At 33.9% G+C, this 12,424-nt stretch overlaps 1 protein-coding gene across 1 annotated transcript in view; it reads right to left on the reverse strand.

The window, feature by feature from the left end:
* Positions 1 to 12,424, reverse strand: part of MEOX2 (mesenchyme homeobox 2) — a 75,472-nt gene that overhangs the window by 14,733 nt on the left and 48,315 nt on the right. The window contains exon 2 of the mRNA NM_005924.5: positions 802 to 974. Within this exon, the coding sequence (NP_005915.2) occupies positions 802 to 974 (173 nt within the window). The remainder of the gene's footprint in view (positions 1 to 801; positions 975 to 12,424) is intronic.

The raw sequence follows: 12,424 nt of genomic DNA on the forward strand, positions 1-12,424 counted from the left end.
GTAGCAGAATTTTGAATTACTGACACCGATACAATTTCAAAAATATTTTGGGTAAAGGGGCAGAAATATTTACCAATGATCTATGTGTCCTTGCCTTTCATCATTTCCCAGCCATCTTGCACCTAAGCCGCACCATTTGACTATTCTAGACATTAGTGTGTAAATAGAAGTGACATGGCTAATTTCCAGGTGAAAACATTTAAAGGTCAGTGCATAAACTTCCAATTCTTTCTTATTTCTTGTAGTTACCATGGACACCACATGTTGAGATGCTAAAGAGTCAGAATGGGTCTGTGAGTGATTATCTGGAATGCTGGACATGTAGAGTTTGTATGGAGAGTGAGTAAGTAATGAACATTTTTATGTTATGCCATTGAGATTTGAGGGTGAATGTGTTACTGCAACTTATCATGACCTATCCTGAGCAATACAGAAAACTAATCTGGGTTTACCAACTTTCTAATATGCCAAATAAGGAGATTTTAACATATAAGCATGCACAACTCCTCACTGTATGCCATCATTATGTAAAAGAAATAATATTTTAAAACCCAAAAATACAGAAGGATAATAATCATAGGAGGATTCTTTCTTCAACTCAATAAGTATGGTTTTCTTTCAAATATCACTATATTATTTTTAATTTTGTTATTTTGCTGGCAAAATTTTATCATGGAATAGTATAACTGTCTTCCAAATGGTATTCAAGAATTCTGGATCTAGGTATTTCAAATATGGCAAAGAAGACTGTGGACCCAGGGCAATTAAAAAAGATCATATAATGATAATGCCCAGCTTTACCTGTCTTTCAGTGAGATCCAGATTCACTGCTATCTCGTATCGCCTCAGTCTGGTGAGATAATTATGATGGGCAAATTCTGCTTCAAGTTCTCTGATTTGCTCTTTGGTAAATGCTGTCCTTTCTTTCCTGGGTTTGCTGTTGACTTCTGACTTGTAATTTCCTTCCTGGGAGTCTGAAAAAAAAGGGAGACAGAATTGGTAATAACTCATTTATTCAAACACATGCAATCATATTATTCACAGTTATTGAATTACTACTTTTCCAGGTACTGCGCTAGACATGGAACAAATAGAGACCAAAGACAGCAAGACTGACGGCAGCTCAACGGGGGGAGATATAATTCTTATTTTTTTCATCTTCCTTCAGGTAACTCACAGTCCATTTGGGAAAGCATGTAATTTTCTTCTTATAAAATATTAACAAAACCTTTAACTGCTTGTAGTATGATATTAAGATAAACCAAAACCTCTCTAGAAAACACTTTTAGATATGAAGTTCTGTTTCATAAGTTGTTGAACATACGTACTTGAGGTCTAAGTAAGATTGAACATAGTAATCCTTTAAAAAGTGGCATCTCAATATAGGAGTATTTGAGAAATTCAAACGTTTAGCAACTGGACCATAAAAAATTTTATGCTCAGACTGAGCGTATGTAAAAGTATGTGTGTACTTATTGGCTTTTTTATCTGTATTTAAGTAAAATTCTTGAGGGCAATAGCAATGTTCTTTTATTTTATATTATACTTAGTCCAACATGGAATCTATAAATGAAATTGTGTTCATATGACTTAAACTATGAACAGAGTTTTTAAATGTGTTTTTCATTATATATAAGATAAACATAAGGTGCACAACATGTAACATCAGTGATCCACAACATCAAATCTTATAATGCAGTGTAAAATACCAATAGCAATTTTGAGTATATCATTCCATTTTTCCTCTTAAGGGTTCAATACATAACTAACGTATAGAATTTCTTTTATCCTCATAAATACCCCTGAAATGTAGGTCAGAAGACATTCTTAATATACTAAAAAGCAGAACGTGAATCAATAGTAAACACACACACACACACACGTCAAGTAAAAAGTAATCATACCCAGCTCTAATAACTTAGGGCAAATTTATCCTCAGTGAAATATCAACATAATCAAGAAAAAAGGGCACATTAATGCTCTCCTGAAAATTATTTCTGGTATCTAATTATTTTTGCACATGTACAAACAAGCTGTGATATCTTTAAAAAGTGTGAATACACTTAACTCTTCTAGGAACCCAAATGATAGAAAATTGATGTAGAAAGATGATCATTAACCAAAGGTTTCAAAGAGTGACATTTTAATTGTTTTTTTAATTGACAAATATAATAAGGCATGGCTTATGCAGGATCTTTTTAGATTATGTTTTTTTTCATGCAATGATGCTTAAATATGCTAAGAAGTACAAAAATGAATTTTTTAGTGTTCTATTTCTTTCTGTCTGCCTGAGGGATGTTTAACTGAACTAAAGAGGACCCTGCATAATGGAAATTCACTAGACAAGGCACTTTAATGTAAAGACTTTTACTTTGATTCTTAGCAGTATCTAAGTGAGCCAGATGTAAAGTTTTCTAGGTCTAGTAGCAGCAGCAGCAGCAATAAGTTGCCTCAACACCTTGGCACACTGACCATTACTTATCCTCTGATGGATCACAGACTGTTTCACTCACTGGTGCACTGGCACTATCTAAAACTCTTCATTCACTGACCACGTTTCTGGGCTTGTCACTTATCCCTGTATCAGCTAGCTTCTCACCTTAGCAGGGTATGTGGGGCTTTATCCAGCACCAAAGTAGTTTGTGACATGTCATGCACAGGTTGATTGCACTTTATAGAAAGCCACTGGGACCAGGTGAGTGACATAAGAGATGATGTGTGTGCTCTCAGGTAGGCCATGTTTACATGGTGCCAACTTACCTGGCTGCAAGGATGGAAACTGCAGTCCATCATCCAATTGCCTCTAGCTACAGATATGTCAGCATCCACATTGGTGGAGCATTTAGCTATTCTGGCATTGTGTGAACAACATTTCCAAATGATTGATTTTTTTAAACTTTTCCGTGGGCTGTTCTTGCAGCCTGCAAACTCAGTCACAGTACAGAATATTCAGATAGCAAGACCTTCTCACAAGCATCCACGTTCTCAGGTGAATTGAAAGAACTTTTGCCAATTTGGATCCCTGCTTTGCCTAAAATCTGTGGCTGATTATTCTTTATGTGGAGACAATGCTCTTTTCCTTTCAGTCAAGCAACTCTGGAAACTGACAGTAAAGCCAGCACACTTTTTCTCATGAGCAGTTCAATTTGAATGATTCATGGTTAGCACATTCCCTTATGTAAGCATGAATGAACAAATTCAAATTCAGGAAAGGCTTTGACTTGTATTTATTTGAGTTTCTTTGAAAGTGATCTTCTTTAACTTTTGCAATATTCAAAAGTACTTCATAAATACCACACAGTCACACAAACAAAAACACAAAACATGGGCCAATTCTCAGAAGGACACTCACAGGTAATGGGTCTATATACACACTCATTGTAACTAGAAATATACAACAGGAGGTTTATACAGCCAGTGACTGGATTTAAGCTAAAATCTGGCTGTAGTTCAATATTTAAATCCATAAATTATTTACTGAATGCTTGAATACCAAACCAAAAATTGCTCACAAAGTGAAATCCAATGACTAAAATGAAGTAACTTGTGCACACTCATATTTATAACCACACAAAGAACCATTGAATTGTAATTAAATTACATTAAATTAGATGACAGAGTGGATGTATGCTTCTTGATATCACCTCCTATGAGAGAGAACGTTCATGTAGTTGAAGTGGCACCAGTGTTGATTAATCCAGCCACTACTTTTACCCTTGTAGTGTGGTTTCCATCACAACCCTCATTCTCTTTTATTAAAAACATGCTTCTTGGAATTGCATTTCTGGATTTGTATTTCCTACAGTCTTGGTTTTTTAAAATATTTTTACCTCTTTCTTTACAGTTTCCAAACCCTATCACTTGCTGACCCTAAGGCCTCTACTGCCATTACCCAGCTAGACTTTCTTTGGTAGAAAATGGATGGAAGATTTGCACCATGCATTTGACAATTTTTGCATCAGTTTCCATCTGTTTCCCAGCTGTTCTAAGTGAGGCAAAAGTCCCTCCCTTTTCTTCAACCTCCCATATCCTATGCCAAATGGTAGGTGCTGAGGGGGGAATCTGGACACTGCCTTCCTTTCTTCTCTACAACCACAAACAAAATGTCACCATCTGTACAGTATATTCCAATGTAAAATACTACAATTGTTGTTTTTCGTCTCAGATACTTTAATGCACCTGTGGGTCCATTCACACACTCTCTCAGCGCTTCGAGGAAATGTTGACTTATGTGTTCAGGTATGGTTGGCAGTCCCAGTTCCCTAACCTTTTGCTCCCTGGGACTACGCTAATGGAAGAAGTCTGCAATACTTCCGTGGAGGATAAAAATTGCCCTCCAAGGATCATTTCTGTCTAGCATTTAGAACTTCTCCACATGTGACTTTTTATTTCCCCTAGTGCAAGAGAATGCCAAAAGATAATAATGTTTTATTGAAGACAAGTAATGGGAGGGCTTGGTCTGTTCACTAGTGGCACAGAGTGCTATTTAGCAAAAGAGAAATAAAAGTACGATTGAGAATATTTTTGGCTACTCTGGGTAAACGTATTAGCTCGTTTAAATGAAGAACATAATTTACCTATGTCTGTAAAATATCAAAATGGAATGGAATGTCTGTATAGCTTGGACTAATATAAATTCTAGTTCCATATCCTGAAGAAAAATGAATACTAAGCCTCAGCATATTGCTGTAACTTTTGTATCAATGTTTTGTAAACTATTCAAAATGAGAGATATTTCATTATTTATTAACAAAACTGCACAAACCCATAGTTATGGAAAGCTAATAATTTTTACGTAGGCATAGGGATTGTGGATGGAGTCAGAAAAATTTATGAAATCATTCTATTGGTGCTAGTAATTTTCACATTTAAAGGGGAAATTGCCTTCTTTATGGGCACTTATCCAACTTGCTACTCCAGCTCATTAATGAGTGAGCATTTCAGCTTCTCAGTGTTTCTTCTTTTTTCAAAGTAAACAACCTTCTCCAGGAGTTCTTAAATCCTCTTGCCAATCCACTTTCCAGATTTGAGAACCACAGTCATAGCGAGCTACTATGATTCATGAATGTGTCGATTATACACTAAGGTGTGTGAGGAGTTAAAAATTGGATCGAGCACCACTATGTTAGATCCAGAATAGGATAGCCAGAAAACATCTATTATTTCTTGTACCTCTTTGATAGCTATAATAATACATTCTCTTACAAAGCAAACCCAAATTTTACATACCAAAAAAGGAATTTCCATCGAGTTATAATTATTATTGTGATAGTTTTCTTCAAAATGCAAAAAAAAAAAATCATTGTACCTGCTGAGCAGTGATTATCAATTGGCAGATGTACTCTTTTTCACTATCTGTCCTCTCTGCTCAATATCTTGATTATTCTTGGGTTTGTCTAATATGCTTTCGGGGAGGAAATAAATCAGATAAATCCCAATTTAGTATTATTGAAGATAGATTATTTTTTATTATATTTATGTAGCCAATTATATGTCTTGAACAAATAATTTATAGAGGATATCCTATTTATTCCTGTTAAAGGCATTTAAGTTCATATATAATGGTCTATATTGAAAGAGTAACTGTATAGCTAAAAGTTTTATGTAATAGTTTTTCAATTTAAGTTTATAGACTTGACTTTTTCTCAATATATTTAGGCTTATGTTTACACCACTCATTCTTAAAATGAGATTGATGAAAATTTTATTCACATGATTGCATCAGTATTTAGCAATAGCTACTTACATAAGAAAACATTACAATTGCTAACTTATAATTTATGCTGTACAAAGCAATGATATAAATGGGAAAGTATGAAGATTTGAGATGCTTTATAAAATCTATATATTTTACATATTATTTTAATATGAAAGAGAATTTTAATTTTTGGAAATATCATAAATTTATCACAGGCTATAAAATTTTACCAAAAAGAAAAGAGCAAGTTAAGCCAAGGTTAAATGTGTGTGTGTGTGTGTGTGTGTGTGGAGAGAAAGAGAGAGAGAGAGGAGAAAATAGCACAAGATTATTCTTAAATTGGTAGAAATTTAGCAACTTAGCATGGATATGGATTTGAAAAATTTGCAAACACATATCTCAGAATTTATACAAAAATAAAATACTTAGGTCTCTAAAGTCCTCCATACCTTAGATGTAGACGTTTCCTTGAAGTAGGTAATAAAATTTCCTTGGCATTGCATTGCATTGCTGGAATAAACTGGCTAGTATTAGAACAAAGTCTTTCTTTTTGCTTCCTCCTCTCTTCTCTACAGTTTTGAGGTGATGGAAGTTACAGAAATTTTAGCCATTTTAAAATAGGTGCATAGTACATAACTCATTTTAATTCCTTATTTTTTGTGCCCATCAATATATGAATTCAGTTTTACCTTACAGCCTGTTTAGTGAAGACCCTTATTTTTAAATGATGAGATTTTAATGTGTCATTTTGTTTTAATTTTATCTTTCCTTTCCTAGAATTTATTATTATGTAATGCTTCCTCATAGTAAGAATATGCCAACCCAATGGTTCTTCTTCCATGACCTAAGTACAAATTCACAAAGAACTAAAAATGGTGATGAAATTAATGTCATGATTAATGTGCAATTCGAAAACAAAACAAATTTTAACAAAATTAACAAAAACAAAGTATTTTTGTTAAAAAATATTTTTAAAGGCCAGAGACACATAAAATAGGAATATAATGCAATTTACTTGCGTCAAATTTGACACAGATTTGATTCTTCTAACTACCAACTTCAAAGCACTTAACACAAAAACAAAACCGGGACAAGTCTTCTGGGTAAAAATAAACTTTGTAGATTTTGCTACACATTTCTAGGCTTAGAAAGAGTTTACAGAGCCCAGAATTGACTTTATGGCTCTTGCTATAGTCCAGAGAGAAAACATAAACTAAAGAAAGATCATGGCTATCCATCCAACAAAACAAGGCACTTGTGCCTGGATCTGTCTAATAGCAAAGGACTTCTCAAAGGTCATCATTTGCACCTACAGTGGGACTAAAGGCCCTAATTAAGACTTTTTGACATAAAGCATTCCATTCCATTTTCCCTGATTATATTAGTTTAAAGAGGGTACCACTTCTGTCAGCTCCCTTCAAACTCCTTTTGTTCCTTTCTTACAATGCTTACCACATTATGTCACTGTACGGATGCTTTCTCTCCTATACTAGAACGTAAGTGTTTGAGGCCAATTCTTGTTCTAGTTTATTCAGACACTGGAGGTCAATAAAAATAATACTTGTTTTCACACTTAATTTTAATACACGCAGAAGCAATAGGCAAGATAGTGAAGAGAACTCAAGCTTCCACATGTGTCCCCCATTCACCTCCTACTCAGCTCTTATGTCAGCAAATGGCCTGGAATTACATGGTATTACTGCATATTTGAGAAGATGGGGAGGGAAAGAAACTATTTTCACAAATTAAGGACAATAGTAACTTGGCAAAGGCAGAAAGAATTGTGACATTTCTAATTTACAGCTGTCAACAGGGCAAAAAGGATTGAGCCCTCTTATGGCATCAGATAACACCATACAGATTTGCAGTGTGATGCCAGAAAATTCAGCACCAATTCTGCCGGTAGTGCAGTAAAACCCTTGGACATGCAACAGGAAAACTTCCATGGAGTTTTTTATTTATATTATGAAAGACAAGTCCACACCTTCTCAGAGTGTAAGGACTAGCATTTATGCTGTAATTCTGAGCCATTTCTTTAGCAAGTCATCATAGTCGCTTTAATGTATTTTTAAGCAGTGATGTAGAAATTATTGAACTTTTCATTTATTTTCATGTCTGCTTTGCTTCTCTGGACTCTAGACTCTGGGTAACTTATGAGTATGAATTTTGTCTTCCTCATCTTTGTATTTCTAATACTAAATACCTACTATTCTGCTGTATCTTTGACTTTACGATCTGATTATAGATTATAATTACAAAGATAACCCTAAGGAGCCTTGTTCTGGCATAGAAATTTAACTGACCTTCAGCTTAGAAAAAGGAAAAGTATCATTTATTATTGCTTTCTATTAACTTTTAAGACATGTTTACACATATCTCGTGTAACTAATGGCAGACAAGTAATGTTATCTTCATTCTATATTTATAACGATATCTCCAAACATGTTTACATAGAAAAGTACCAAATCAGTCTCCCTATTATAAAATTTGAAACCAAAATCATTGAATGTTATACGAAGTGAAGGAACATATTGCCCAGAGATTATAGTTCTGAACCTCAGCACTATTGACATTTTGGATTGGATAATTCTTGTTACATTTGTATTCAATGAAACATAAACATATTCAAAATAAAGATGTCCTGTGTGAGGTGGGGACAGTTCTGGGCTTTGTAGAATGTTTAGAACATCCCTGGCTTCTACTCACTGGATGCTTGTAGCAAACCTCAACCCTAATTTTAGTGTTGTCAGATAAAATATGGTTCTCCCAGTCCAATTTGAATTTCAGACAAACAATAAATAAAGTTTTAGTATGTTACAAATATTACACAAAGCATACTTGTATTTTAAAATGTTTATTGTTGTATGAAAATTCTAATTCAACCAGATATCTGTAGTTTAATTGGTTAAATCTGGCAATCCTAAATTGCCAATGTACTCCATGGGGAAAAATTGCTCCCAGTAGAGAATCATTGCATATAGATAATATTTGGATGAAGACATCAATAACTTTCAGTTATACAACTCTTTTTAGGAATGACCAACATGATTCATAAGTTGCACGCATTATTTATGTGTAAATAATCCCACCTTTATACTGTGGTCACGCCTTGTCTCCTCCAAGCCAATGACGAGATTATTTGCAGATAAAATTGTTCAAGAAGAGATTTTGTCAGTGCTAATTCACCCAAAATATAACTGCAGAATAAGTGACTCTAACTTCAGAGGATTATCCACATGGAACAGTAAAATGACACATATGGCATCACCATAGAAATTACCATGTTCCTAAGCCATCCCTTAGAGGTGTGAGAGTTTCAGTAAATTTCAGAGGGAAGTATTATGTTTCTACAATGCATCAAAGCACATAAGCACTAATAATAAATCAACTATTTGATTACATCCATATCATTTAATTAAATACTGACTGAATTAATAAATATTAACTTTGTAGGCATGCATTTTAGAAATTGAGGAGATTCTTACAAACCGTCTATTTCCACCTGCTCTCTACCTGAGAAAAGTGAGGCTCAAAGTGGCTGAAGGGCTCACCAATGGTCACAGATAGTCACAGAATGTTCCTAGGCCTAAGTGTCATTCAGCTTCAGAAACCAACAGGAATACATTTTATGAACTCCTGAAATATCCTTTACCTACTGCATGGCCTTTTCACAACAAGGATTTGAGGACCACTGCCATTTAATTGTGATACTAAATATGGTTATGAAACCTAAAATACTCAAACAGAATCTTGAGTACCAAACATTCCAAATACACAGATATTAAGAGCATCCTCTCTGCTCCTTATCTGCTTATTCAACCCCTATTGTCTCCCCTGTGCTCATCTTTAACACAGACTTTAAGTGAAGAGGGTTAAATTAAGCAAATCATGTAGAACAATGCCTACATATTACGGGCACTCAATAATCAATTGTAAACTCTAGCCGTTATTAGGAGAGGACTGTGGTCCAAGGCCTTAGCAATTGAAAATTATGCATTTGATAAAATCATGTGTTATAATTAGTTTTTTTAAAATGTAGGAAAATTTTGTTTTTAAAATGGACCTCAATCTAAAAATCTAAGAATTTAGGAATTTACACAGTGACTAGCAGAGTTCCACTTTACATTGAAAAATGGTTGGGCCCCTAAAAGTATCTATGTGTTATTTTTGGCTAATGTACAAACGAAGCTGAAAGTTTAATTACAATTTTCCAAGGAACCTGGGGAGGTGACACTTTACAAGGCTTAGTGGTATCAGTGTATGAAATTGTATTTCCTCTGCAAGTTTTATTTGGAAATTCAGTGAAACATAACCAAACCTGGCATACCCAATAAAACGGAGTCAGATAGTGTGCTTGTGTTTGTGTGGGTATGTGTGTTTCTTCTCTTTTAGAGTCCTGTCAAACAGGTACATAAATGTAGGAAGATAGGAGTCACATTCTGCCTAGTGGTTAAAGTATTAAAAAAAGTTTAATTAATACTTCTAAATGGATTTTTAGAAGACCAAGATAAGAAGTATTTACTGAAAACACTTACAAGCCGATTCTCTTAAATGTTGTGCTGTTATTTACTTAGAAATTTTCTCTAATTATGAGTTTCTTCATATAGAGGGTTTGAGAAAAAAAATCCCTTAGATATTTTTTCTGAAATAATCATATCGGAAGATTAATGACCAAGAATTTATAAATTGATTTTGCTTTGGTTTCAAAGTATAATAAACAAATTATAAACAATAATAAATAATGCATAAAGGTAATGAAATAAAACTTATTATAAAATACCAAACAACATAGGGTTCTAGCTCAGGCATCAGTTTCCTTTTGACTGCGCTAGTGAAGTTAAATTCTTGTGATCTGTTACATGATTGTAGCTGTATTGGCAAGAAGGAAAACAATCTCAGGCTGACGAATCTGCATTATAATCAAATTGTGATTGTTTTTTGCAAAGATTTTCCCAATTAGAGAGCATCTGAATCATTTCTTTGGAGATCTTAAATTCAATTATACATGCCATATAGAAATTTAAGAACATAAATGTAATTATTATCTGCCTCAGTCCATTTTGTGCTGCTATAACAGAATACCTGAGTGAATAATTTATTTTAAAAAACCAGAAATTTATTTCCTACAATCCTAGAGGCTGAGAAGAAGTGCACGATCAAGGCAGCAACATCTGGTGAGTGCTTTCTGGCTGCATCCTTAATGGCAAAAGGCAGAAGGGCAAAAGAGCGTGATCCCATTCATATAAGCCCTTTTCATAGTGGCATTAATCCATTCATGGGAGTGAAATCCTCATGACCTAAACACCTCCCAAAAGGCCTCACCTGCCAGCACTGTTGCCCTGGGGATCAAGTTTTCAACACGTGAATTTTGGGAAACACATTCAGACCATAGAATTATCCATTTATTTATGATATTTTAGAGACTAACTTTAATATTCTGTTGGGTAAATTATACTAGGAAAATAATTTCACTGAAGTCTGAAATGTTTTTTAAAATCATACTTAATTTCATATTAGTTTAAATGTGAAAAATGTCCTACACCTATTTCTGATCTCTGCCAAGATAGTATATAATGATACGGCATTAAGTTTCTGTGAATGTGAAGCTTTCATCTAGGTCTTACAGATAATCCTTGGGTTGTAATTGCATAACAAATTCAGGCACTCAAAACTCACATACGTCATAGGTTACATCTTATAATTTCTGAAATGATTCATAAGTTTCTTCCAGTTAGATATTAGATAGCATTCAGTATTCCATTACATGGTGGAGAGAAAGGGACTTGAAGCATACACATTTTTGTTTTACTGAACACGTGTGCTACCACCCACAAAAAGAGGATGTGCTTACTCCTAAAATGTAATTTTCCAATACACACACACACACACGCACACACACACGCACACACACACATAAAACATACCATCTGCTAATCTTGCAATACTTCTCAATAAGCAGAAAAATCTTAGTAGTATCCAGTTTTTAAAGTTTTTCATTGATTAAACAGAATTGTAGTTATAATTATAGCTCTATAACTTGTACAGTTCTGTTTACAACTCTAGTTATTTAGAAGGAAAGAGTGGCTGGGGAACATATCGGGGCTTTGAAGCCAGCAGACTTGGGTTGGATATCAGTTGTTGCTACTTACTGTGTGGTCTTCTGAGGCTGGTTTTTGAAATTCAGATTCCCCATCTAAGAATCCACAGGATTGTTGAAAATAGGAGAATTAGAGAATTTAAAGTGTGTATATCTGAGATATAGTATCAATTCAATAATACAAACCTACTATTAGTAATATTAAACTTAAAATGTACCAGGAGTAGGATGGTACTGTTACATTTATTAGCCTTTTCTAAGTCAAATTTATTAGTTTACATATTTCATTTGAATCATTTAACTTTCATTTGACACGTAACATTTAGTGAAATACACCTTTATTTCATTTTTAGTGATCTTGAACTTAGTAAAAAGATGATTTTTATTTTCTAGCTCTTTCCACCCCTGTGTATTTTAAAAGATCCACAATCCTCATAATTTCTTTAAGCAATCAGCAAGAGTTGTGTATGATTACTTTTTAAAAAGTTAATAGGTTGTGAAAGTCTGTATGCTTTTATTTCTTTCATGTTTTATAGCTTTGCTGCTAAAAATTGCAGTCTAGTTTAAAGCATAAATTATTTTTCTGAGTGCAATTAAATGGCATTATCTTTTATTTATGTACGTTTGTA

Source organism: Homo sapiens, chromosome 7 (genome assembly GCF_000001405.40).
Source record: "Homo sapiens chromosome 7, GRCh38.p14 Primary Assembly".
Classification (NCBI taxonomy): Eukaryota; Metazoa; Chordata; class Mammalia; order Primates; family Hominidae; genus Homo; species Homo sapiens.